General features: G+C 46.2%; 5 annotated features.

Moving 5' to 3' along the window:
• Positions 560-1095: an enhancer, noted in NCBI's record as "OCT4-NANOG-H3K27ac-H3K4me1 hESC enhancer chrX:102996691-102997226 (GRCh37/hg19 assembly coordinates)". NCBI's record gives its function as "activates a minimal SCP1, AML or CMV promoter by ChIP-STARR-seq in naive and primed H9 embryonic stem cells {active_cell/tissue: H9 hESC(naive and primed)}" and the evidence as "EXISTENCE:reporter gene assay evidence [ECO:0000049][PMID:30033119]".
• Positions 1096-1633: an enhancer, noted in NCBI's record as "OCT4-NANOG-H3K27ac-H3K4me1 hESC enhancer chrX:102997227-102997764 (GRCh37/hg19 assembly coordinates)". NCBI's record gives its function as "activates a minimal SCP1, AML or CMV promoter by ChIP-STARR-seq in naive and primed H9 embryonic stem cells {active_cell/tissue: H9 hESC(naive and primed)}" and the evidence as "EXISTENCE:reporter gene assay evidence [ECO:0000049][PMID:30033119]".
• Positions 13289-13789: an enhancer, noted in NCBI's record as "H3K4me1 hESC enhancer chrX:103009420-103009920 (GRCh37/hg19 assembly coordinates)". NCBI's record gives its function as "activates a minimal SCP1, AML or CMV promoter by ChIP-STARR-seq in naive H9 embryonic stem cells {active_cell/tissue: H9 hESC(naive)}" and the evidence as "EXISTENCE:reporter gene assay evidence [ECO:0000049][PMID:30033119]".
• Positions 24688-25339: an enhancer, noted in NCBI's record as "H3K27ac hESC enhancer chrX:103020819-103021470 (GRCh37/hg19 assembly coordinates)". NCBI's record gives its function as "activates a minimal SCP1, AML or CMV promoter by ChIP-STARR-seq in primed H9 embryonic stem cells {active_cell/tissue: H9 hESC(primed)}" and the evidence as "EXISTENCE:reporter gene assay evidence [ECO:0000049][PMID:30033119]".
• Positions 25992-26643: an enhancer, noted in NCBI's record as "OCT4-NANOG-H3K27ac-H3K4me1 hESC enhancer chrX:103022123-103022774 (GRCh37/hg19 assembly coordinates)". NCBI's record gives its function as "activates a minimal SCP1, AML or CMV promoter by ChIP-STARR-seq in naive H9 embryonic stem cells {active_cell/tissue: H9 hESC(naive)}" and the evidence as "EXISTENCE:reporter gene assay evidence [ECO:0000049][PMID:30033119]".

Below are 27842 nucleotides of genomic sequence, written 5' to 3' on the forward strand. Positions count from 1 at the left end.
TGTGGTGGCAGTCAGAGTTTGACAAGTGGAAGCCAATAAGCATCCAGACCTCAGAGAGCCTCACTCCTCTAAGACAAAACCGTTTGGAAATGACCTGGGCCAGGGAAAGGAACTCACCTTGCCCTTCCACCTGCACCAACTTCTCCTTCACTCTTTGCCTGTTTGATGCCTTCTCTTTCTTTCTCAGTGTCCAGATTTAAACATCATCTCTTTGGCGTTCTTATTTATTTATGTGTTTTTTGACATGGAGTCTCCTTCTGTCACCCAGGCTGGAGTGCAGTGGTGCACCTTGGCTCACTGCAACCTCTGCCTCCCGGGCTCAAGCAATTCTGCCTCAGGCTCCTGAGTAGCTGGGTTTATAGGCGCCTGCCACCAGGCCTAGCAAATTTTTGTATTTTTGTAGAGACGGGGTTTTGCCATGTTGGCCAGGCTGGTCTCCAACTCCTGACCTCATGTGATCCACCCACCTCAGGCTCCCAAAATGCTGGGATTACAGGCATGAGCGACCTCACCCAGCTGCCTTGGAGTTTTTTCCTGGCCCCTTACCCAATCTTATTGGTGCTCACAACATCTTGGGTTTTTAAAAAACTCTATTGTGTCTCACATTCATGTGTGTGATTCTTCAGAGATGCTCCTCCTTAGTAGCTTCTAAGCTCCACGAGGGTGAGGCCTGGGCCTGATTTTCTCATTGCTGTGCACCCTACAGCACCTAGCTTAGGGCCAGGCACAGGGTAGGTGCCAGCTAAACATTTGTAAATGAATACATGAATGAATAAATACAAGAATGGATGAGGAGGCACTGGTGCCTGCCCTAGCTTGGACAACAGTGCTGAGTGTCAGTTGCTCCATGGGGGCTCATCTTAGCTGCTCTGGTGGCAAGGTTTCTTGCAGCATCATTGTCTTAGTCAGCTAGGGAGGCCATAAAAAAATACCACTGACTGGGTGACTAAAAAATAAGCGAAATTTAGTTCTCACAGTTCTGGAGGTTGGAAATCCAAGACCAGGGTGCCAAGATGGTCAGGATCTGCTGAGGGCCCTCTTTCTAGTGAAGGAAATCAAAATATTTTACCCCAAAATATAATTTTTTGACATATTTTGAAATGACTGCTCAGAGGGCCTGCAAACTCAAGTAGCCTTGCAAAGCTGTCTTCTGTAGGGGAGATTTGCATTTGTAGAGAAAACCTGCATCGCTGCAGCCAGACTTTCCAAAGGCCTTTCCTTTTTGGGATCTAGGAACGATTAACTGAGATTCTGACAACTTTAAAGGTCTGAAAGGAACATTTACCACCTATTCTCTGTGAGAGCTGCTACTTGTGAGGTTTCATTTACATAACAAGACTGCATTTGCTGGCCAGGCCTCCTCTTCTTTCTCTCATTAACCTGTTTTGCCACTCCAGGCCCCCATTCTTTCTGTAAGAGAGAGAGAGCGCGTGCACCCTAGTCTCTTCCTCTTACTTTTATTTTATTATTTTTTTGAGATAGTGTCTCATTCTGTCGCCCAGGCTGGAGTGCCGTGGTGTGATCACAGCTCACTGCAGTCTCAACCTTCCTGGCTCAAGCGATCCTCCCACCTCAGCCTCCCGAGTAGCTGAGACTACAGGCACTTGCCACCACACCCGGCTAATTAAATTTTTTGTTTTGTTTTCTTTTAGGGCTGGGGTGTCACTATGTTGCCCAGGCTGCTCTAGAACTCCTGGGCTCAAGTGATCCTCCTGCCTCTGCCTTCCAAAGTGTTGGGATTACAGGCATGAACCACCATGGCTAGTTTAAATGGTTTTTCAGGGTCACATATCTCGGAAGATATGTGGGATGTAAACCCAGCAGCCTGGCCCCAGAGCCCATGGTCTTCATGGCAGCAGCATGTGTGCCGCCTCTCATGTGTACAAGTGAATGAAGAATGAAAGGTAAGCAGCGCACCGTGGTCATCCCCGCAGCCAGGAGCCTCCAGAGGTGCCATTCAGTCTCTCAAGTCCCTGGGTTTTGGGGACTCCCTGTCACAACCCCTTTGGGGTAGCCTCCCACCCCTGCCACTGCATCTCTTCCTCCCCTTGTCTTCTCTCTGTCTAATTGTGAGTGCTGCGCTAAGTAGGTCACTCCCACTGAGGGCTTTTTTTTTTTTTTTTTTTGAGACAGAGTCTTGCTCTGTTGCTCAGGCTGGAGTGCAGTGGCCTGAACTCACTGCAACCTCCGCCTCCCGGAGTCAAGTGATTATCCTGCCTCAGCCTTTCGAGTAGCTGGGACTACAGGCGCCTGCCATCACCTCCTGCTAATTTTTGTATTTTTAGTAGAGACGGGGTTTCACCATATTGGCCAGGCTGGTCTCAAACTCCTGACCTTGTGATCCGCCTGCCTTGGGCTCCCAAAGTGCTGGGATTACAGGCATGAGCCACCGCGCCCGGCCTCACCCAGGGCTTTTAATGAGAAGTTTTGCCATACCAAGGCAGCAAAGATGAATAATTCAGTGAAGAAGGAATGTTATTCTTTTTTTTTTTTTTTTTTTTTTGAGACAGAGTTTTACTCTTGCTGCCCAGGCTGGAGTGTAATGGCGCAATCTTGGCTCGCCGCAGTCTCTGCTCCCAGGTTCAAGTGATTCTCTTGCCTCAGCCTCCCGAGTAGCTGGGATTACAGGCATGAGCCTCCATGCCCGGCTAATTTTGTATCTTTAGTAGAGGCTGGGTTTCTCCAAGTTGGTCAGGCTGTTCTCGAACTCCTGACCTCAGGTGGTCCGCCTGCCTCGGCCTCCCAAACTGGTGGGATTACAGGCATGAGCCACCACGCCCTGCCTTTTTTTTTTTTTTTTTTTTTTGAGATGGAGTCTCGCTCTGTCACCCAGGCTGGAGTGCAGTGGCACGATCTCAGCTCACTGCAACCTCCACCTCACGGATTCAAGTGATTCTCCTGCCTCAGCCTCCCGAGTAGCTGGGACTACAGGCACCCACCACCACGCCCTGCTAATTTTTGTATTTTTAGTAGAGACGGGGTTTCACCATGTGGGCCAGGCTGGTCTCGAACTCCTGACCTCAGGTGATCCACTCGTCTCGGCCTCCGAAAGTGCTGGGATTATAGGCTTGAGCCATCTTGCCCGGCTGGGAATGTTATTCTTTCACAGAAGAGTCCCTTGACAGTGGGAGAGGCAGGGAAGGACTGCTTATTATGGGAGGAGTGGGGGCTGGGGTGACAGAAGTAGAGAGAGGTGAGGAGGAGGAAAGCCCCACATGAATCACTAGCAGAATTCTGAGGGATCCTTGTCAAAGCCTCTTTGCCATTTAGGAGTTAAGCCTACTTAGGCTGGTGCAAAATCCCCAGTAATCTGATGGCTTTTGCCCCATAAAGCAGTGATCTCTTTATGACCAATGCCTCCTTCCAAAGAGAGGTGTTGTTATATCTAGGGGTGATGGCCTGTTTTCTTAATTCATTGAAATTTCAAAATGATTAAGACTGCTCAAAGGGGAAAGAGGACAGATGGAGGGGAGTGATGTGCATTCCCAGTCCTCATTCAATGCCTGTTGTGGGGTGGCAGGGGGGTTGCTAATACTTAGACAGCAACTTTCAGAAGATATAAAAAGGTTTTCCTGATGATGTCTTTCGAATTCTGACAGAACATATGAGATGCAAGCCTTCTTCTCAATTGTCAGTTAGCCATTTGGGACATAGAACTGGGGCTCTAGTTCCCCCTTGTCTGAATAAAATGCAGCAGTCTTTTTAGATGGAATCTTTCTGTGTTGCTCTGGCTGATCTCAAATTCCTGGGCTCAAGATATCCTCCCCTCAGCCTCCTAGGTAGCCAGGAATACAGGCATAGGCCACCAGCAAGCAGTAATCTTTTTGTGGGAGTTGGCATCTGACACAAAGCAAGGTTTCTAATGCTTTATGTGCCAAAAGGATCCAGTGGCTTATACTCTGGTGCTCTAGAATAAGAAGAGTGGATTTTAGCCCCTGTTCTACTACTTCTTGGCTGTGTGACCTTAGACAATTTATAACACTTCCCTGATCTTCAGTGTCCTTATTTAAAAACTGAGTAGCTGTAACAAAACTCTCTCATGCTTGCTGTGAAGACTGTAGGAAATAAAAAAGTATTTTTTTAAACGGAAACTTTGTACATATGTAAGGGATATTTACAAGTAGAAAAGGGTACTTGGCAACTTCTCTCTACTTAGCACACTCTCACCTGAGCCCCTTTGGATAAACTGATTTGCTAGGGTTGAGAACAAAGTATGTAGCCATGGAACTGTTTCTGTGCAAACCTAACTGGCATGTCAGAAAGCCAAATAGTGATCTTAGTCTCAATGGCACTTTCCTATCACCAGAGGCATAGAGAGGCAATCTTTGGAGTCCAAGGTATCTGAGTTTGGTACTAGGTTCTGCCATTTATTAACTATGTGGGAAAATTAATCAACATTCTTGAGCCTCATGATTGTCATCTGTGGAACAGAATTAATAACAGTTTCTGTCCCTCAAAAATGTCCTAAGTTTTAAATTAGAATGTCCATATGTAGTCCATAGCACAGGCTCTGTCTGACACAGTAGCTTTTCAATAAATGGAAGCTTTAGATGCTGCTGTTATTTTAAGTGAGCGAAAAACTCTGAGATTATACATATACTAAGATTCGTTTAAAATTTCTTCACTATAGTCTGGGCAATATAATGAGACCCCATCTGTACAAAAAAATTAAAAAAATTAGCCAGGTGTGGGGGTGAGCATCTGCAGTCCCACCTAACTACTTCGGAGGCTGAGGTGGGAGGATCACTTGAGCAGAGAAGGTCAAGGCTGCAGTAAGCCATGATTGCACCACTGCACTCCCCAGCCTGAGCGACACAGTCAGACCCTGTCTCAAAAAAAAAAAAAAAAAAAAGGATCTTTACTGAATGCCAACCATGTGCCAAGGAATACTAGAGATACAGTGGTAGCCAAATTACCTGACTTTCAACAAGCATTTGGGAGTAAGTGAAAGCAAGACTCTATTCTGGCTCAGAAATTAATATGCCTAAGCTATTAAGGTCTTGGAGGCTGAGGCTGAAGCGGAGATGATTTTTTTTTAGACTCTGGGACTCAGGTACTCACTAAAGGAATGGGAAAGTGTGCAGATAGTATCAGGCACAGGAGGACATACAGAGGAAGAAAGATAGTGTTTTTAGGGAGAAAGTAGTACTACTTCCCTTTGTAATAGGAAAAACCAAACCAAATAAGGAAACAAAATGAACAAATAACCATTCACTAGCTGTGGACAGGACAAAAACACCAAGGGGCCTCACCTGAGTCCTTCCTTTCCAACATTCTGCCTTTTCCTTGTCAAAGCAGGAATTTAAGAAAGGACCTAAGAATTCATTCATACCTCCGTGTTGTAGGACCAATGTGAATTGCCTGGAAACTAGCCTCAGGAGTGATATCATAGTCAAGTCCCAGTTCATTGTGGGTCAAGGAATCTGGCTCCAGCCTCAGTTTCTTAGGAAAGAAGCCAGTGGGAGTTACACAGCCTCTGATATAACTTGAAAAACTGCCCACCTTGGCAGATGGTTATCCATCCATGGGGCTCAGTGACCTGTGATCAGATTGAACCAAATGAGGGCTGTGGCAATGGTGCCTTTGGGAGGCTTGGTGAGGCAGAGTTGGAGGTCAGAGAAGCTAAGTTGCCCTGAACCTTTCCTGAGGAATGTGTCTTCTGTTTCTTTAGAGAGTTGCACTCTCACCAATGACCAGCTGCCTTCTGGGTGAAGTGAAAGTAAGTACCCTGCTGACTTTGACTTTCTGTCTCCTCTTCTTGCCTTTGGTTCAAGACGGAGCAAATCACTTTGTGCTGCAAAGAGCTGACTGACACCCCCACACACTGCATCATCTTGCCTTTGGGGAATGGGGAAGAGAGTGGGCAGGGTTGGCCTTCATCAAGACCGTTGAGGGTTAACACAAGTTGGCATTGGAGGCCCTTACCACCTTCCCAAGAGAGATCCTGAGACATGCTGCCTAATGGAAACTTGCCATTCCTCACTTCAGCATTCCCTTTCCTCTCTCTACCGCTTTCCTCCTTCAACTTCCACAGCTCCCCAGGACCAGTTTAATTTGTCCAGTATTGAAATCATCCCAGGCAAAGCAGCCAGCCTCCTCTCTTTACTAACAACTGGAGTGAGGACTGAGGAGGCCTGGAGGCTTACTGGTTGCCATGGTAAGAAGTAGGCCCTGAGAGGATTAATGAGCAGAGAGCTGGAGTTTTTTTGTTTGTTAGTTTTGATGAGTTTTGTTTGCTTTTCTTCCTCCACCCACCTGCCCCCCTGTTCCCCTCCCACCTACCCCTCCAGAGTCTCAAACCACTAAAGCAGAAGGAGATTACTAGGAGCAAAATCAGCTCCTGACGTGGGCTACACTAAATCCAGGCTGCCCTGCTGAGGGTAATTGGTGTACACTTTGTAATGTAGACTCTGGGAGAGCCAAGTTTGGAAGGCAAGATGTACCACCTTTGTGGCATGGCACAGCATCCTGAGGCAGAGGGGGCCTGCTAGGGGAGGAGGGGGCGTTGAAGCTCTCTGAAGCCTCCACACTTTTTCCTTTCTGGCCAAATAGGAAAGTCACAGGCAAACTAAAAGCCAGTTTAGGCTGAGAAAGGCAGCTAAGTCCTGACCTTCTGTCTTGTGTCTGCCACACCCCAAGATCCCTTTCTACCAGAGTCCAGGCACCCGCTCCACAAAATCTCCTTCAATCAGCTTCCTCTCTTCCCACTGGTGAGCAAGGTAGATCATATTCATAGAGAAGATATGAGCTCCTGAAAGGGTGTGAGGTTATTATGTTACAATTATTCCTGTTGTTATTAGTGTTTTTGTGTTATTATTATTATTTTAAATTAGTTCCCTTCAATTTAATCCATGGCTCTGAGAATGGAGACAGCTGATTCAGGGAGATTTTTTGGACTGGGTACCTGAACTGCACTAAAAAATGACCTTGCTTCCTTATTAATTAGTAATCTGGGGCTGAGGAGCAATAAGAAAGGAGAAGGGCATGGGAAGGAAACTCTGAGCGGACCAGCAAGGCCAGATAATGGCCAATGGTGAAGTCTCAGTGTCTCCTATCTCCTCTTTCATTCTGTGGCAACTGCATAAAGCTACCTTGATTCGAGGATCATCTCACAGTGAAAATATCCAATGGTGTCCCTGTACTTCTAGTTCAATCCTTTTATCCATCCCAGCCTAGGAATGGGTACCCTGCTCCCTTTTTGACCCTCCAAACATGTATTCTCAGTTTCCAAGGTTTCTATTTATCCTCACTTAGGTATTGCTTTATGTATACTCTCAAAACCTTTTCTTCTCTCCATGGGTTTATTTTCCCAGCAAGATGGCATATTTCCTGAAGGCAGGTTCTGTGTCATAAACTCCACTAGAATCCCGCTTCTTCAGGGCTCTGAATACGATGGGAACTTGGTGAATGTATCTTGATTTACTGCTCATGAAGCAAGAGCCACAGGAAAGGTCCATGCTATGAATAACAGGCATAAAATAGGAGAAATTGGCTTATAACATAGAAAAACAAGATTAAATGCTTATGTCATGCCACGTACGTAATAAACATTAGAGGTACTGCACACTTAAACATGAAAGGCAAAACTATACAACTATAGAAATATTGGAGAGGCCGGGCGCGGTGGCTCACGCCTGTAATCCCAGCACTTTGGGACGCCGAGGCACGCGGATCAGTACGTCAAGAGTCCTACACGAGCCTGGCCAACGTGGAGAAACCCCGTCTCTACTAAATTTTTGGTAGAGACAGGGTTTCTCCATGTTGGTCAGGCTGGTTTCGAACTCCTGACCTCGTGATCCGCCGCTCGGCTCCCAAAGTGCTGGGATTACAGGCGTGAGCCACCATGCCTGGCCAACATTTCTATATCCCCCTAGAACTACTCTCACAGGTACACAAAGTAGCTTGCATGAAATGTTTGTTGCAATATTGTAATACAGAGAAATTGAAAACAACCTAAATGTCCATCAACAGAGGAATGGATAAATAAAATGCAAAATATGCAAATCATGGAATATTATATAGTGGTTAAAATGAACATATTACTTTCACAGTTATCAACAGAATTAGCTCTCAATAATTATAATATTACATGAAACAAAGAAGCAGAGAAGATGTACAGAACAATACCATTTATGTAAATCAAACACACAAGAGTGCATATCTGGCCGGGTGCAGTGGCTCACGCCTGTAATCCCAGCACTTTGGGAGGCCAAGGCGGGTGGATCACCTGAGGTCAGGAGTTTGAGACCAGCCTGGCCAACATGGTGAAACCCTGTCTCTATTAAAAATACAAAAAATTAGCCATGCATGGTGGTGGATGCCTGTAATCCCAGCTACTCTGGAGGCTAAGACAGGAGAATCGCTTGAACCTGGGAGGCGGAGGTTGCAGTGAGCCAAGATTGCATCATTGCACTGCAGCCTGGGCAACAAGCGTGAAATTCTGTCTCAAAAAAAAGAGTGCATATCCATCATGAAAGGAGATGGGATTGGGAAGGGTGATAAAGAGGGAAATAAATAAAGTAAAAATAAATAAAAATAGAAATAAAATGATACAAAGTGGGCCATGCATAAACTGATGATGATAATATGACTCTAACAGTATTCCAGTCAATGAAATTCTTTGCACCTGAAGCACATCCCTTACCCTGAAAGAAAAAAAAAAAGAAAGAAATGAGATAAGGTATAGGAAAGTGCCCAAAGCAGTGTCTGGCAACCAATACTTGCTCAGCAAATGCAAGTTTCCATTTTCCTGCTTCACCCTTCTTCTTCCTTGAGAGGGAAGTGGTAGTGAGCAGGGAATACTAAGAGCCCAGAAACTAAACATCTGTTGTCTTAGTCTGTTTTGTGCTGCTATAACAGAAAACCAAAGACTAGGTAATTTATAAAGAACATAAATTTATTTCCATAGTTCTAGAAGCTGGAGAGTTCAGGATCAAGGCGCCAATAGATTTGGTCTCTGGTTCCAAGATGGGGCCTTGCTGTGTCCCCAGCATTGAAACGGATAAGGCAGAAGGACTTGAGAGTGAACCGACTCCCACAAGCCCTTTTTATAGTTGACATTAATCCATTCATGTGGTTGGAGCCTCCCAAAAGGCCCATATTCCAACACTGTCACTTTGGAGATTAATTTCCAGCATATGAATTTTAAGGAACACATCGAGTCCATGGCACCTGAACATTTAAACGTGTCCTTGGATGTCAATTGGTCCACCTGGAGGAGGTGCCCCTGCTGAAGGGCACCAAAAGTGAAACAAAAACACCTCATTGGAGACCAGCAAGGGGCCTCCACATCCTGAATGTTTCTCATTGGGATGTGGGCTCCCTTTGTTCCTCTTAATCCCAATTCCACCATCTTTGTGCTGAGAACTTGATCCAAGGAGCCTAATCAGTAAGGCTGCCAGCTTGGCAGTCCTGTATTTAATGAAACTAACCTCTCTATTCACTCAAGGATCATTAAAAAGCTTTATTTCTTCTTCTGACAGATGCAACACTACACTTGCCCAGAGATTCCCCTGGCTGCTCTGAGAAATGGGCAGCATAGCTCAGGAAGCTGAGGGCCGAGACACCTGACAGCTGGTTTAAGGAAACTGCCAGGCCGGGCATGGTGGCTCACGCCTGTAATCCCACTACTTTGGGAGGCTGAGGCGGGTGGATACCTGAGGTTTGGAATTCGAGACCAGCCAGACCAATATGGAGAAATCCCGTCTCTACTAAAAAATACAGAATTATCCGGGCATGATGGTGCATGCCTGTAATCCCAGCTACCCCGGAGGCTGAGGCGGGAGAATGGCTTGAACCCGGGAGGCAGAGGTTGTGGTTAGCCGAGATTGCGCAGTTGCACTCCAGCCTGGGCAACAAGAGCAAAACTCCGTCTCAAAAAAAAAAAAAAAGAAAGAAAGGAAAGAAAGAAAGAGAGAGAAAGAAAGACGGGAAGAAAGAGAGAGAGAGAAAAGAAAGAAAGAAAAGGAAAGAAAGAAAAGAAAGAAAGAGAGAAAGAAAGAAAACTACCTTTCTTGAATAGGGACACAGAATATGAACACAAAGGCAGGGATGGTGTTTGACTGAGTATACCCAGACACTTAGCTGAAGGGTCTCTGGTAGGGAAATGCTCAGACAGCCTGCTTTTTACCTGTTTCAGCCTTGATTTCTACTGAAGGCTGATCATTTTAGCCCAACCTAGCTTCAGCCTGAAGATGGCCAGTTCTAGGGATAGTAGCCTTTAGAGACCTTCTGCTAGAGAAGAGAAGAGAAGAGAAAACAATGGGCAAAGCCTTGCTCCCAAGGACATGGTTTTAGGAAGAGCAATCCCTGAGACTTGAGTGGTGACAATGGAGACAACCACACAGGAATGCAAGTCTCCAGTCTGGCTCTGACCTACTTTATTGCTGGGGAATAACATTCCCTTGCAGTGGTCCCAAGACAGAAGCAGGCCAGTTTTCTACAAACTAAGAAAATGGTATAGATGACAAAGGAACAGACAAATATATATGGGGTCATAAAAGGGAAAGACTTCTGCAAAGAGCACTTGCTTATCATTTTTTTTTCACTTCTTCTGAGCCAAGCTCCTGCTGGCTAGGATTGTCATTGGGCCAGTGTCAGGACCTGACATTAACCTTGGTTTTAGCAATACCGAGAAACAAGGAGGCCTGGTCCTACCAGGCCACAAAGCTGCTTGACTGTCTGCCTAGGGGAAAAGGAATTCGGCCACATGGTAAGCATCCCTATTTGTGTGCACTTGTCTCCTCGCCTTCATTTCGTCTTTATCTCTACCTCCTCCCCCAACCCCAAGCTGTGGGGTATTTGGTCCTCCTGGCTCCTTTCTCTACATCTGTTGTCTATCTGTCTTTTTTGCCTCCAAGATCAGGCAATTGGGATTTGCTGATTTAAAATTTGTATTTAAAGGTTTTGCATGCTGCCAGCTCAGGAACACAAATGGAGTACCAGTGCGCTCTGGATACTCTTTCGTCCAATGTCCTTGGTGGGATGAGGGAGGGAGGCAGGAGGAGCTAGGGCCAGGTGATAAGGGAATATTGCTGGTTATGTGTCCCAAAGCATACTTCTTCAACTCTATTACCAACTGCCCCTCCCCATCCTCCTGGACTCCTGAAGAGAGAGGCACTGAGGTTGGGGTGGGTGCAGAGAGAAAGGAAGAATTACTGTGTTATGGAGAACTCACTACATGCCTCCAACCATGTCAGGAACTCTACATATATTGCTTTACTTCGTGCTCACAACAGGCTGTGAGGTTAGTAATATTATCGTTCCCTAGTTTATAGTTGAGAATACTGAGCCCCAAAGAGGATAAGCAACTTCCCTCAGGGTCTCACAGACAGTAATAATGTTGAGCCAAGATTCAAACCCAGGTTTGGCTGACTAGCTGTAATGCCCTTAACAGCTGCTCTGTTAAGAGCACTAGTTAATGTTCCTGGCCATGTCACCAATATATGCTATTTTATTTATTTATTTATTTATTTATTTTTTGAGACGGAGTTTCCCTCTTGTTGCCCAGGCTGGAGTGCAATGGTGCAATCTCAGCTCACTGCAATCTCCATCTCCTGGGTTCAAGTGATTCTCCTGCCTCAGCCTCCCGAGTAGCTGGGATTACAGGCATGCACCATCACGCCCAGGTAATTTTGTATTTTTAGTAGAGATGGGGTTTCTCCATGTTGGTCAGGCTGGTCTCAAATTCCTGACCTCAGGTGATCCACCCGCCTCAGCCTCCCAAAGTGCTGGGATTACAGGCGTGAGCCACCACACCTGGCCCAATATGTACTATTAGTGAAAAAATCTGTTTGGGCCCCAGATTCCTCTGGTATAAAATGGGAATGATGGCCCTTTGCCTGACTACTGGGCTTGCTGTGAAGGTCAAACTGGTTAAGGCATATGGAATAATAAAGAACCATTTCCCTTTGTGTGAGGGTAGGGAATCAAAGCCTGATCTATGAGCTGGGCTGCCTGGGTTCCAGTCATGGCTGTGTCCTTCCCTGGTTCTTGACCTTGGATAAAATTACTTCAGGTTTCTGGGCCTCAACTATAAACTGAAGGAGGTGGCCTCAAAGGGCTCCTGCAGGTCTATGGGGCTGTGATCATTTCCCCTCTCTGAGTCTTAGGCTGTCTGCCTGCTGCTAGAGGGAGATGGTCCCACTCAGCCTTCTCCCTTCATTCTGCTTACATCGAATGGATCTGAAATAGTTTGGAATGAACAAGAAGCTAGAGTCCCAAAGTCCCCATGCCTTCTTCTGTCTTCCCTCACCTTCTACCATCACAGTGTTGGTCCCAGGTATTGCTCTCATTCCCACCTCCTTGTTATTAATGAGGGGAGAGACAGGGCCTTAACGCAATCTCCTCATAGCCCAGCATAGCCCTACTCCCAGTGTACCCTTCTAAAGAAAAAGTTGTGAAGTTGGCTTCACTTGTGTCATCTGATGATGCTCTTGGGGACTACGGGTAGGGCCTAGTCCAAGGCGTGGGCCATGAAGCAACTCACAGTAACAGAGGCTTGATAGTCATTTGCAATCCTAAAATGCTGCACTTCCTCCCAGTCATATCTTGAATTAATGAAGAGCCATTTTATTGGGAGTCTACTATGTACAAAGTACTCTGTTGGGCACTAGGAAGGGAACACTCAGACAAGAAGCTAACAGGCTGGTGGGTGAGATGGATGTGTTTTCTAGCACATAGAGCACTTCGTGTACTTCACAAGGGCATACAGGACTTTATCTCATCAGATTTTCAAAACTTCTAGGAGATATACAGGACAGTACCATCCTTATTTTAGTGAACTGAGTCGCATAAGTACACGCGAGCCTGTAAAAGTAAGAATAAAAATAGAAGAGTAGGTGCCAATTGCAGAGATGTCTGATGATGTGAGGTAGACAGGTTCTAACCACACAGTACAGTGAGCTTTTGGGAGAGAAGCACTATGGGAAGACCTTGCTTTCATGTTTAGCCAGCTTATTCTTGGAAAACTGAGGGGTCACCAAGACTATTTTTATGCAGAGGAGTCAAAGCCTAAGGAACTGATGAAGACTGAGTTCTGTTTTCAGGTAGCCCACTGATTGAGAAGATGGAGGGGTTTCTGCAGAATAATCAGGGCCAAGAGAAAAATTGCCACTAAGCCTGCCTTAGGAAGGTTCCAGAATGGAGTCTTAGAACTTGATCAAGAAGAGTCCAGGAGGCTGTCCACAAAGCTTGGCTCACAGAGTTTTGAATGAGCCTATCCTGCAGCGCAGCCCGAGGTCCTCTCAGCATCTGCCCTCTCTGGAGGCACTCTCTAAGCTCCTGGAGTTCTGCAGGTAACCCAGCCCCCAAAGCTCTGGCTTCTTTCAAAAACAGAGCTGGAGGGCACATCTGCCAAACTCCTTCACTGACAAGCAATCTCTTCTCTGGCAGCCCTGCTCTGCCCTTCCACTGGAATAATTGAGCACAGATGTATGTGCATGCGAGTGCATGCATATCTGTGTACTTGGGAGAGGTGGGGGATGCAGGTGTATTGCCTGGGGAGGAGAGGATTCTCGCTGTTCTGTTATCTTACTAGCTGCTTCCAGGTATTTGCTTTTGCTGCCCTCCCTCCTTTCCTATCCTGGCCCTCCTGCAGATTCATTGGAGGGGCTCTCTCCTTGCTCTATGCCCTAAGGCTACACTGTCCCAGAGCCCGACTGCAGCAAAACACTAAAAACCCTGCAGGCATCAGGAACCAGGTCCTGAGTGAAGGACTAAATCTGGAAGTGGAGATTCAGGAGAGGGGACTCATGTACATGTCGTGTGCCTAGTGGTTAGGAGCCTGGGATCAGCACATGCCTGTAATCCCAGCTACTTGGGAGGCTGAGGCAGGAGAATTGCTTGAACCCAAGAGGCAGAGGTTACAGTGAGCCGAGATCGCGCCACTGCACTCCAGCCTGGGTGACAGAGCGAGATTCCGTCTCAAAAAAAGAAAAAAAAAAAAAAGAACCTGGGATCTGATGACAGATTGTCTAGCTTCATAATGTTGTTCCGTATTCTACCACCAATGTAACCTCTCTGTGCCTCAGTTGCCTTGCCTATAAAATGGAGATAACAGTACCTTCCTTATAAGAGTGTTTCACAGAATCAATGCATAATTATCTATAAAGCAGTTAGAACAGGGCTGGACATATACCAAGTAATCAAAAACTATTAGCTATTAGTTTCAGTCTGTCTTCTAAGATTTGTTTCCAACTCCCAAGCTGCCAGGGACTCCTATTAGTTGCCTGCCCTGATGAGGGTGCCTGCCCTCTTTAAGGCAGGTGCCATGGCACCTTGTAAAGGTTTCTTTCCATGGAACTTGGGCTCAGCCCTAGCCAAGTGTGATCAGCTCTGAAGCCTTGGAGATTTCTAGGAAGTGCTGCTTGTGCTGGCTCCAATGCTGTGATTCCTTCAGGAGCTTAAGGCCCAGTAGTCTTCTCCACACAGAGGGCAGAAGGAACTAGATTTGGGGAAGAGGTAGATGCCTGAGTAGAAAAAAAACATAAGCTGTTATTCTTATGCTCTTACCCAACAACATTCAACATGGAACACTTCTGTGACCAAATGTGTGGTGTGTTTCCCAATTTCTCACACACCAAGCAAGCAACTCTGCAGGAGACACCAGCTGGATGTCCTCCGATTCAATTCTGATGCTACCTACCTGGAGATAGCGTCAGATCCTGCAGGTTGAGGGCTCAGTCCCCAAGCCTGTCTCCCACTTCCAGTGCCAATCACAAGCCCCAGGTTATTTTGCCTCTGCTTCTGACTGACTGGCTATAAATCGGGGTTCCCATGAACCCTTCCGCAGGTTTGATCAGTTTGCTAGAGCAGCTCACAGAACTCAGGGAAGCACTTACTTAATTTTACCAGTTAGAAAGGAGATTTTAAAGGATACAAATGAATGGCCAGATGAAGAGATACACAGGGTGAGAGCTAAAGTCCTGAGCACAGGAGCTTCTGTCTCTGTGGAGTTGGGATATGCCATCCTCCTGGTGGGCAGATGTTCAAACTCCATGTATGGCTATCCACAGGCTTTTCAAACCCTGTCTTTCTGGGTTTTTATGAAGGCTTTATTATGTAGGCTTGATTGATTAAATCATTGGCCATCAGTGATTAACTTAACTTTCAGCCCTTCTCCCCTCCTAGGAGGCTGGGGGTGTGGCTGAACATCACAATCCTCTAATTCTGCCTTGGTCTTTTTGGTGATCAACTCCCATCCTGAGGCTACCTACCTGCTGCCAGCCATAAGTCAACTCATTAGCATACAAAAAAGCATCACTTTGAAGATTGTAAAGATTTTAGGAATAGTATAGCCAAGAACAGCAGGAAATGCCAGAAAAGGGTCAGAGAGGGAGTCTTGTCTTGCAAGGGCTGAGGAAGGCCCTTCTTGCCCTCAACAAGAGCATGATCCCCACTGACACCCACCTATGCAGTTTGCCAAAGAGGTTACCTCAGAAGGTTCATCAGCCCATGGCCTAAAGGATTAAGAGAGTTTCAAATCGATGAAAACTCCAGTGTAGAGAAAAGAGGAAAAATAGCTGTGAGCTCCAGGCCAACTTTTGGAGAAGCAAAAAATTAAAAATAGCTGAGCTTTAAATCTCTTTTTTTTTTATTTGGTGTGGTGGGGGGTGGTTGGAGCTTGAGGAGGGCTGGAGCTGAGCAGGATGCAAGAAACATTTGTTCTGCTTGCTCCAGGAAGAAGTGAGTGTGTGTGAATTCAATTTTTTGGATCACTGCCCAGAGTGGTCACACACCACCACAGATCAAGGATCCCCTTGCCACCAGAATTCTCTTTGCACTGAGCACCTCACCCCTACTCTCTGCCTGCAGCTGTTGCAACTTCTGGTCTTCCTGCTAGTGGCAAATCTGTACGGGTCTGCAGCAACCTCAATTCTCGACTCCTCAGAAGAAAGAATTCGATGGAGGGTCATAAGGCAAAGGGAAAGACTGAGGCAAGTTTTAGAGGAGGAGTGAAAGTTTCTGAAGAAGTTTTAGTGTAGGAACAAAAGGATGTAACGTATACTTGTAAGAAGACCAAGCAGGCGACTTGAGAGGTTCAAATGCATGGTTTGACCTTCGACTTGGGGTTTTATATGTTGGCACGCTTCTGGGGGTTTGCATCTCTTCTCTCTTGATTCTTCCCTTGGGGTGGGCTGTCCACATGTGCACTGGCCTGCCAGCATTTGGGAGGGGCCGTATGCACAGTACGTTTACTGAAGTTGTAAGCATGCTCACATGAGGCGTTCTTTCCTTATCAGTTGAGTGTTCTAGAGGAAGGCCATATACCAGTTAAACTCTGCCATTTTGCCTCTTAGTGCACATGCTTGAACCCACTAGCCCAGCTCCTGAGATCTTATCAGGAAGCTGCTGATCACCAGTTTTAGGTTTTTCTATCTATTGGGAGACATTCCCTGGTGCCAACTGCAACCAATTATTATTTTAGAGAGACAGTTTAACAATCACCTGACCATCACCTGATGGTCACCTGACATTCCTAGTTTTGGGGGAGCCCTCTCCTGCCCTGCTCATGTCTGACTACCTACTATAACATTTCCAGGGCCTGGGCATGCCTCTTTGCAGGATTCAGTGGCACCAGATTGGCTCACACTTGAAGAATACACATCTGGTCCTTGTGCATTCAACTGGACACTGGTAGTGGAGGGAGGCAGCATACCCCTGGCCCAGCTCAGCCACAGCGGTCAGCTCAGAGGACTCCAGAGGAGGTTGGAGCTGAGGGCTTGAGTCTGGAAGAGGGACATTACCCATCCCACAAAGACTTCTAAAGAGGTCCTCAGTAGAGAGGACCTCTTTGAAACTGCCTTTGCAAAAATTTTAACAGTGATAAAATTATGACAGTGAAAGAGATCTTACCTAACCAACTCCATCTTGCCTTTAACCTCCAAACTGCCCTTGATTATTCCTGGGTGTGGGCCAAGCTAACTTTGGTAGAAATTTATAGATTGAATGGTAATAGCCCTTCCCAAAACTAAACTGCCTTTATAAAACTAATACAAGGCCACAAGTTTAAGATTATGAAAGGGGCCTGAATTCTGCTAAGATACAGGTGTAGTGAAATGATTAATAGCCATTGTTCCAGAGATCACAAGATTTGCAACATTGCCAATTGCTCCTGTAAATAACATCACTATTGTGGAACTTAAGATTGGCTTTTTAAGATGTCTTTTCAGACTTTTACATTTCTGACAACTGACTGGATGACTCCACCTGGAACAGCGACTCCTCTGTGGTCCCAAGCAGAAGTGGACTCAGCACATAAGGACCATTTTCCACAGCCCTATGATTGTCTCTTGAATATCCATATCTGTATTCTTCCTATTCCCATTTCCTCTTTTGGCTATAAGGTTTACTGCTACCAGTTTTTCAAAGGGGAGGGAGTAGCGGGACAAAAAAGCAGGTTGATAACTGCCAGAGTTCACACAGAACCAAACCATCCTTGAAAAACCTTACCCTTCAAATTTTCAGGGAGGCTGATTAGACTAATAATAAAACTCCAGTCTCCTGTTTAGCTGGCTCTGCATGTATTAAACTTTCTCTATTGCAATTCCCCTGTCTTGATAAATTGGCTGTATCTAGGTAGCAGGCAAGAAGAATGCCTTGGGTGGTGTATTAGTCCATTCTCACACTGCTGTGAGGAAATACCTGAGACTGGGTAATTTATAAAGAAAAGAAGCTTAATTGACTCACAGTTCTGCATGGCTAGGGAGGCCTCAGGAAACATACAATCATGGTGGAAGGCACCACTTCACAGGGATGCAGAAGAGAGAATAAGTGCAAACAGAGGAAATGCCAGATGATTCTAAAACCATTAGATCTCATGAGACTCACTATTACAAGAATTGAATGAGGCAAACCGCCCCCATGATCTGATTACCTCCACCTGTTCCTGCCCTTGACACATGGGGATTATGGAGATTACAATTCAAGGTGAGATTTGGATGGGGACACAGAGCCAAACCATATCAGGTAGTTATAGCTTCACTTGGGACTTTGACATTTGTCTGGGATAGGATGAGGATGGAGCATGGACTAGTTCCTGAGGGTGAGATTAGGGAAAATGCTGCCAAGAAGACACTGGCCAGGAGGGAGCCGGATGCTAGTAACTGAGACAAGAAGCCTGCCAACTCAAGCCAGACCTTGGGCTATTGGAATGTGGGAAGGAATTAAAGAACGAAGATAACAGCAATATCTATTGGATTTGATAAGGATTAATGCAAGTGAAGCACTTAGTACAGAGCCTAGCACACAGTAAGTACTTAACTAATGGCATCAAGCTGCAAACTCTATCATCTCTGTCTTTTAGAGGCCATAATGCATGTTAGCATAGTGGAGGTTTTGTAAAGTCTCCCAAGTAGCTGAGACTACAGGCGTATGCCACCACGCCTGGCTAGTTTTTGCATATTTAGTAGAGACGGGGTTTCTTCAGGTTGGTCAGGCTGGTCTTGAACTCCCGACCTCAGGTGATCTGCCCACTTTGGCCTTCCAAAGTACTGGGATTACAGGCATGAGCCACTGTGCCCGGCCAAAAAAAAATCATTATTTTTTTTTTTCCTTGAGACGGAGTCTCGCTCTGTAACCAAGGCTGGAGTGCAGTGGTGTGATCTCGGCTCACTGCAAGCTCCGCCTCCTGGGTTCACGCTATTCTCCTGCCTTAGCCTCCAGAGTAGCTGGGACTACAGGCGCCTGCCACCATGCCCGGCTAATTTTTTTTGTATTTTTTAGTAGAGACGGGGTTTCACCGTGTTAACCAGAATGGTCTTGATCTCCTGACCTTGTGATCCGCCCCCCTCAGCCTCCCAAAGTGCTGGGATTACAGGCGTTGAGCCACCGCGCCCTGCCGAAAAAAAATTTTTTTTAAGAGTCAGTGTCTCACTCTATTGCCCAGGTGACAGTGCAGTGGCATGCTCCTAGCTCATGGCAGTTTTAAACTCCTGGGATCAAGCAGTCCTGCTTCAGACTCTTCAAGTAGCTAGGACTAGAAGTGCGTACCACCATGCCTGGCTACAGAGACACTAAAACAAACAAACAAACAAACAAACAAAACAAAACAAAAACAAAAAACTTTGGTTAACCCAGGCTTCCCCAAATATATTTGCCTGCAGATTTTTTTTTTTTTTTTTTTTTTTTTTTTTTTTTTTTTTTTAACATTAGACCTTTCACCATCCAGTGGAGATGACAATCTCTGGTCATGCTTTGGGAAACTCCACTCTCCTTCCAGTGAGGGGCTCTAGTAACATTTGTCACTGCCTTAAAAATGTTTCAATTTGATGTCAATTAATACTTTTTTTTTTTTTTTTTTGAGACAAGGTCTGTCTCTGTTGCCCAGGCTGGAGTGCAGTGGCATGATCTCAGCTCACTGCAACCTACACCTCCTGGGCGCAAGCCATCCTCCCCCTTAGCCTCCCGAGTAGCTGGGACTACAGGTACGCACCATCATACCTGGCAAATTTTTGTATTTTTTGTAGAGACAGGGTTTTGCCATGTTGCCCAGGCTGGTCTTGAACTTGTGAGCTCAAGCAATCCACCCACCTTGGCCTCCCAAAGTGCTGGGATTACAGGCATGAACCACTGGGCCTGGCAATACTTTCTTTCCTATTCATTAGCTCCTATTTGGAGAAGAAGTTGAGGGAGGTTCTCTTTAAAAATAGAGACTGTATCATCAGGGCTGCTGGGGAAAGGGAAAGAGACATTGTATCTTTGTTGGAATTTGGGCTTTCTAAGAGGAGGAGTAGAAACTATGCTGGTGGTTATGGTGGTTGTGGGATGAACAACAGGATGGATGTCCAGATGGACCAAGTCAGCCCTCTATTGTAATTCCTGGATGAAAGCTTGAAGGACCTAATCTCAAGAACACCAATGATCCTACTGTCCTCCTATATATATGAACAGAGATGGGAGGATGTTCTCTGGTTATTTAATAAAGGCCAGCCACAAACAAGGCACCATACTAGGTTTCATGCGCGTCCATGTGAAATCACCAAACAGGCTTTGTGTGAGCAATAAAGCTTTTTAATCACCTGGGTGCAGGCAGGCTGAATCCGAAAAGAGTCAGATAAGGGAGATAGGGGTGGGGCTGTTTTATAGGATTTTGGTAGGTAGTGGAAAATTACAGTCAAAGGGGGTTGTTCTCTGGCTGGCTGGGGTGGGGGTCACAAGGTGCTCAGTGGGGGAGCTTTTGAGTCAGGATGAGCCAGGAGAAGGAATTTCACAAGGTAATGTCACCAGTTAAGGCAGGAACTGGCCATTTTCACTTCTTTTGTGATTCTTTACTTGCTTCAGGCCATCTGGATGTATATATGCAGGCTTGGGCTCAGAGATCTGACATTCCTGTCTTCTTATATTGATAAGAAAAATAAAATAAAATAGTGTTGAAGTGTTGGGGCAGCAATAACTTTTGGGGGGTGGTATGGAGATATAATGGGCGATGTTTCTCAGGGCTGCTTCAAGCGGGATTAGGGGAGGCGTGGGAACCTAGAGTGGGAGAGATTAAGCTGAAGGAAGATTTTGTGATAAGGGGTGATATTGTGGGGTTGTTAGAAGAAACACTTGTTGTATAGAATGATTGGTGATGGCCTGGGTGCGGTTTTGTATGAATTGAAAAACTAAACGGAAGACACAAGGTCCGAATAAGAGGAGAAAAACAGGTATTAAAGGACTAACAATTGGGAGGACCCAGGACATCCAATTAGAGAGTGCCCAAGGAGGTTCAGCATAGCCCTGCCAGTAAAGATTATTTATTTACTTTAAGAGGGAGTTAAGAGTGGTGGGCGGTTTGGGGATAGCACCAGGAGATATCAGCTGTGATGGCTTGGAGAAACAGTGTAAACCGGCAGTGTAAACAAGAGCAGGGCATGTATGAGTAGTTGAGAACGGTGAATAGGATTATGACTAGACAGAAGATAGTAGGGATGACAAGTTTTTGGGGCACAGCCCAAGTTGGGCTGGTGTCTGGAATGAGACGGGGGCCTAATAAAAAGGAGTGTCTATACAGGAGCTCAAATGGGCTGTAACCTGTAGCATTCCGAGGACAGGCCCGAATTTTGAGAAGGGAAAGTGGTAAAAGTATTGTCTAGTCATTTTTTAGTTGGTGGCTGAGCTTGGTGAGGTGCGTTTTTAAAAGACCATTAGTCCATTCTACCTTTTCTGAAGATTGAGGATGGTAAGAGGTATGAGGGTTTCACTGAATACCAAGAGCCTGAGAAACTGCTTGGGTGATTTAACTAGTAAAGGCCGGTCCGTTATTGGACTGTATAGAGGTGGGAAGGCCAAACCAAGGAATTATGTCTTACAGAAAGGAAGAAATGACCGCAGTAGCCTTTTCAGACCCTGTGGGAAAGGCCTCTACCCACCCAGACCAAGAGGTATTTTAGTTTCCTGACTCGAGGCATGTGAGTAAAGTCAATTTGCCAGTCCTGGGCAGGGGCAAATCCCCGAGCTTGATGTGTAGGGAAGGGAGGGGGCCTGAACAATCCCTGAGGAGTAGTAGAATAGCAGATGGAACACTGAGAAGTGATTTCCTTGAGGATAGATTTCCACGGTGGAAAGGAAATGAGAGGTTCTAAGAGGCGGGCTAGTGGCTTGTAACCTACATGGAAGAGGCTATGAAATGACGACAGAATAGAATCGGCCTGTGAGGCTGGAAGGAGATATTTTCTTTTTTTTTCTTTTTGTTTTTTTTTTTTTAAATAAGAGAGATTTTATTTTATTTATTTATTTTTTTGAGACAGAGTCTTGCTCCTGTAACCCATGCTGGAGTGCAGTGGCATGATCTTGGCTCACTGCAACCTCAGCCTACTGAGTTCAAGGGATTCTCCTGTCTCAGCCTCCTGAGTAGCTGGGATTACAGGCACCCACCAGGAAGGAGATATTTTCCTTGGTTCAAGAACCATTTGCCTTGTGTGGGAAGAGATTGATAGGTGGAAGTTTCAGTAGGGGAGTAGGTAGGAGTGACCGATGAGAAGGAGAAAAACTGGCCTTGAGGGACGAAGTTGTACTCTAGCTGCTTTTTTAGCTACCTTATCAGCATAAGCGTTGCCCTGAGCGATGGGATCTGACGCCTTTTGACGGCCCTTGCAGTGAATGACTCCAGCTTCCTTTGGAAGTAAAGCAGCCTTGAGAAGAGTTTTTATTAAAGAGGAATTAATGATGGAGGACCCTTGCGTAGTGAGGAAACCTCTTTCTGCCCTTATAACAGCATGGTGGTGCAGAATATAGAAGGCATATTTAGAGTCAGTATAAATATTGATGCGTAGTCCTTTTGCAAGAGTGAGGGCTCTAGTTAAGGCAATGAGTTCGGCTTGCTGAGAGGTAGTGGAGGGGGGCAGAAAGTATGTGCATCTGGTGTGAGGAAGAAAATAGATTTTGGAAGTTATGAGAACTGTAGAGAGTGAGTTGAGCACAGTTTGTGATTTTGAGGGCCTCTAAAAGTATTAAAACAGAGGCAGCTGCCGCATGCAGACATGAGGGCTAGGCTAAAACAGTAAGCTCAAGTTGTTTGGATAAAAAGGCCACAGGGAGCGGTCCCAGTCCTTGTGTAAGAATTTCGACCACACAGCCCTGCACTTCGGCTGTGTGTAATGAAAAAGGGTTGGGATGAGTCAGGGAGAGCTAGTGTGGAAGCATTCTCTAATGCTGTCTTCAAGGAACGGAAAGAGGAGTGGGAAAAGGATTTAGGATCTATGGCATCAGCTAGGTTTTCTTTTGTGAGTTTACATAATGGTTTTGTTAGGATGGCAAAACCAGGTATCCAAAGGTAAAAGTATCCAACCATGCCCAGGAAGGAAAGGAGTTGTTGTTTTGTAGAAGGGGTTGGGGTTTGAGAGATCAGTTGGACAGGATCGGCAGGGAGAGCACCTGTGTTTTTATGAAGAATTATGCCGAGATAGGTAACAGATTAAGAAATTCGGGCTTGACTGAAGTAATGGGGGCTGTCTGTGAAGCCTTGTGGCAGTACAGCCCAGGTAATTTGCCGAGCCTGATGGTGTCAGGGTCAGTCCAAGTGAAAGCGAAGACAGGCTGGGATGAAGGGTGCAAAGGAATAGTAAAGAAAGCATGTTTGCCACACAGAACAGAATAATGGGTTGTGGAGGGAGGTATTGAGGATAGGAGAGTATATGGGTTTGGCACCATGGGGTGGATAGGCAAGATAATTTGGTTGATAAGGTGCAGATCCTGAACTAACCTGTAAGACTTGTCTGGTTTTTGGATAGGTAAAATGGGGGGATTGTAAGGAGAGTTTATAGGCTTTAAAAGGCCACACTGTAACAGGCAAGTGATAACAGGCTTTACTCCTTTTAAAGGCTGCTGTGGGATGGGATATTGGCGTTGAGTTGGGTAAGGGTGATTAGGTTTTAATGGAATGATAAGGGGTGCATGATCGGTCACCATGGATGGAGTAGAGGTGTCCTATACTTGTGGATTAAGGTGGTGAGATACAAGGGGAGGATGTGAAGGAGTGTTTGAACTGGGGAAAAGGGTGGCAATGAGGTGTGGCTGTAGCCTAGGAATAGTCAGGGAAGCAGATAATTTAGTTAAAATGTCTCAGCCTAATAAGGGAACTGGGCAGGTGGGGATAACTAAAAAGGAGTGCATAAAAGAATATTGTCCAAGTTGGCACCAGAGTTGGGGAGTTTTAAGAGGTTTAGAAGCCTGGCCATCAATAACCATAACAGTCATGGGGCAAGGGAAATAGGCCCTTGAAAAGAAGGTAATGTGGAGTGGGTAGCCTCCGTATTGATTAAGAAGGGGACGGACTTACCCTCCACTGTAAGAGTTACCCAAAGCGTATGTGATGGTCCAGGAAGCTTCTGAGGTGATTGGGCAGCATCAATCTTCAGCCGCTAAGCTGAGATGATCTGGGAAGGAGTCAGTCAGAGAGCGTTGGGCCAGAGTTCCAGTGGCTCTGGGAGTGGCTGCCGGGTGAGTTGGAGAGTCCAATTTCCAGTGGGTACCTGCACAGATGGGGCACAGCTTAGGAGGAATCCTGGGCTGTGGGCATTCCTTGGCCCAGTGGCCAGATTTCCAGCACTTGAAGCAAGTTCCTGGTGGAGGTGGTCCTGGAGGAATGCCTGGCCACTGCGGTTTATGTGTTTGGAAGTTCCTGTGTGCTGGAGATGTGGCTGGGGTTTCTCCCACACTGGAGGCAAGGAATTGCAACTCAGAAATATGTTGCTACTTGGCTGCCTCTACTCTATTATTGTACACCTTGAAGGTGAGGTTAATTAAGTCCTGTTGTGGGGTTTGAGGGCTGGAATTTAATTTTTGGAGTTTTATTTAATGTTGGGAGCGGATTGGGTAATAACATGTATATTGAGAATAAGACGGCCCTTGACCTTTTAGGGTCTAGGGCTGTAAAGCGTCTCAGGGTTGCTGCCAGATGAGCCATGAACTGGGCTGGGTTTTTATATTTGATGAAAAAGAGCCTAAACGCTAACTGATTTTGGAGAGGTTGGATAAAGAAAAAGGAGCATTAACCTTGACTATGCCTGTAGTTCCAGCTACCATTTTAAGAGGAAATTGCTGGGCTGGTGGGGGAGGGCACATAACGAAACTGTAAGCTGGACTGGGTGTGAGGAGGGGAGGTGATCAAAAGATTATAGAGTGGGGGAGCAGAGCTGAGGAAGAATTGGGACCTGGCTTGGCCTGGTGAGGAGCAGCCTGGGGAGGAGGGCAGAGGTCAGATGGGTCCATAAAAAAGGAAGATTGGAAAGACTCAGCAACACTTGGGGTTGGGACTGAGGGGACAGGCAGGAGGGAAAGAAGGAAGATTTGGGAGGAGCTGCATTGGGAACAGAGACTAGGGACGGACCGATGTGTAAAAGAATGCCTGTATGTCAGGCACCTCAGACCGTTTGCCCATTTTATGACAAGAATTATCTAGATCTTGTAGGATGGAAAAATCGAAAGTGCCGTTTTCTTGCTATTTGGAACCACTGTCGAGTTTGTACTGGGGTTAAGCAGCATTGCAGAAGAAAATAAGGCATTTAGGTTTTAGGTCAGGTGTGAGTTGAAGAGGTTTTAAGTTCTTGAGAACACAGGCTAAGGGAGAAGAAGGAGGAATGGAGGGTGGAAGCCTGCCTATAGTGAAGGAGGCAAGTCCAGAGAAAAGAGAAGGTAGAGACATGGAGAGAAGGGGTGGGGGATGCTTGCCCCCCAGGAAAGTGGAGAAGGGGTGGGGGGTGCTTGCCCCCCAGGAAAGTAGAGAGAAAAGAGAGGGTAGAGACACAGAGAGAAAGGGTGGGGGGTGCTTGACCCCCAAAAAGTGGTGCTTGCCACTAAGGGTGAAGGATCAAGGCAGGCGTCCCCATGGTGATCAGACACCTCTGAAATGTGGGTGAATAATCAAGCAGGCGTCCCCACAGTAATTAAACACCAAGGGAAGACTTTCTTTCCGAGTCCGTGACTGGAGCCGGCGTTTTGGGTTCACGGATAAAACGCATCTCCTCTGTCTCTACCAGAAAAGGAAAGAAACTGAAAATAAGAGAAGGGAGAAATTGAAGTGTGGCACCAAGATTGAAAGGAGAAAGAGGTTGAGGGATAGTGAGAGAGGTTGGAGAAGAGAGTAAAGAGAGGCTGCTTACCGGATATAAAATTGGTGAGATGTTCCTTGGGCTGGTTGGCCTGAGGACCAGAGGTTGTAGGTGGATCTTTCTCATGGAGTAAAGAGCAGGAGGACAGGGGATTGATCTTCCAAGGGAGGTCCCCCGATTCGAGTCATGGCACCAAATTTCAGATGCGTCTGTATGAAGAGACCACCAAACAGGCTTTGTGTGAGCAATAAAGCTTTCTAATCACCTGGCTGCCGGCGGGCTGTGTCCGAAAAGAGAGTCAGAGAAGGGAGACAGGGGTGGGGCTGTTTTACAGGATTTGGGTAGGTAGTGGAAAATTACAGTCAAAGGGGGTTGTTCTCTGGCTGGCTGGGGTGGGGGTCACAAGGTGCTCAGTGGGGGAGCTTTTGAGCCAGGATGAGCCAGGAGAAGGAATTTCACAAGGTAATGTCACCAGTTAAGGGAGGAACCAGCCATTTTCACTTCTTTTGTGATTCTTCACTTGCTTCAGGCCATCTGGACGTATACGTGCAGGCTTGGGCTCAGAGGCCTAACACTAGGCTAGGGCTTTGTGGGGAGAGGATGTCTTGTGCTTATAGCTCCTACATGTGGGCTCTGTCCAGCACACATCTCTACCCCTAGCAGCCACAGTGCCCTTGAGGGAAGGTTCTGAGTACAATCTCGGACAGCCCATAGCAGCCACTGACTCAGCTGATTCTCAGGAAAAAGGCACTGAATCTGACACAGTTTGGAACCTGGCAGCCCCTTCTCAAAACTCCAGACCCTCCTCCTTGGTCCCATCTCATTAGCTTCCTCGGTTTCCTGCCTGGCCCAGGGAAGGAGTCACTCTCATGACACTGTGAACCAAAAGTATCTGAGAGAGATCTCAATAAATTTAGAAAGTTTATTTTGCCAAGTTTAAGTTCGTGCCTGTGACACAGCCTTAGGAGTTCTGACAACATGTTTTCAAGGTGGTTGGGGCACAGCTTGATTTTATACTACATTTTAGGGAGACATGAGATATCAATCAATATACGTAAGATGTACATTGGTTCAGTCCAGAAAGGCCGGGCTACTCGAAGTCAAAGAAGGGGGCTTCTAGGTCATAGGTAGATAAAAGAAAAATGGTTGCATTCTTTTGAGTCTCTGATTAGTCTTTCACTGAATACACAATTTACATGTGAGAGGTGGATAGAGGAGTAATCACTTATGCCTTAGTCTGGCTTTGTGAATCTGCATTTTTACATAAACAATAAGGCAGAGGACGTGATCAGATATGCATTTGTCTCAGGTGAGCGGAGCTATAACTTTGAGTTCTGTCTGTTTTCTGGTACCTATGAAGATAAGCTATCAGTTTACATTGCCAGGGTGAAATTAAACAGAGCTCTTTTAGGGTAAAGATCTTGAATCCCACAAGAAATTTCCTTGTGACAAATTATGAGGGAGGTATGTAGCTTTTTATCTTTGTAGCTATCTTACTTAGGAATAAAATGGGAGGCAGGTTTGCTTGACATAATTCCCAGCTTGACTCTTCCCCGGGCTTAGTGACTTTGGGGTCCTGAGATTTATTTTCCTTTCACAACACCTTAGAGCAGCTTTAGCTCTACTTTTACTGATACAAGCTACCAACTGCTCAGCAAGCCACCCAAAATGAATGCATAATTCAAAAAAGGGAAAAGGCACACTCCCTTGTTCCCCTAAGACACATTTCAGATAGCTGTCCCTAAGCCCCTGCTGCATAAAATGCCTAAAACTTTGTTGCCCTCCTCCTTCCCTACTTTGTTCCTCTCCTCCTTCCCTTTCTCTCACCTCCCCAGCCCTGGAGACCTTCTTGTCTGGTCTTTATCCTAGAGCTGACATGCCTAGGTCAATGAATGCTTACATTTTTTTTTTTTTTTTTTTTGAGACGGAGTCTTGCTCTGTCGCCCAGGCTGGAGTGCAGTGGTGCGATCCCAGCTCACTGCAAAGTCTGCCTCCCAGGTTCAAGCAATTCTCTGCCTCAGCCTCCTAAGTAGCTGGGATTACAGGCACCCGCCACCACGCCTGGCTAATTTTTGTATTTTTAGTAGAGATGGGGTTTCACCATGTTGGCCAGGATGGTCTCAAACTCCTGACCTCGTGATCCACCCGCCTCAGCCTCCCAAAGTGCTGGGATTACAGGAGTGAGCCACTGCCCCCGACCCGAATGCTTACAGTTTTCATCTAAGGTCTCTTATGCCTGTGCTTCATGCCCACATCCGCCAGCATATCTACCCTCTGCCCCCAGGAGTATTTCTTTTAGCATCTCAACACTTG

The sequence above is a fragment of the Homo sapiens genome, chromosome X (assembly GCF_000001405.40).
Source record: "Homo sapiens chromosome X, GRCh38.p14 Primary Assembly".
In the NCBI taxonomy this organism is placed as follows: Eukaryota; Metazoa; Chordata; class Mammalia; order Primates; family Hominidae; genus Homo; species Homo sapiens.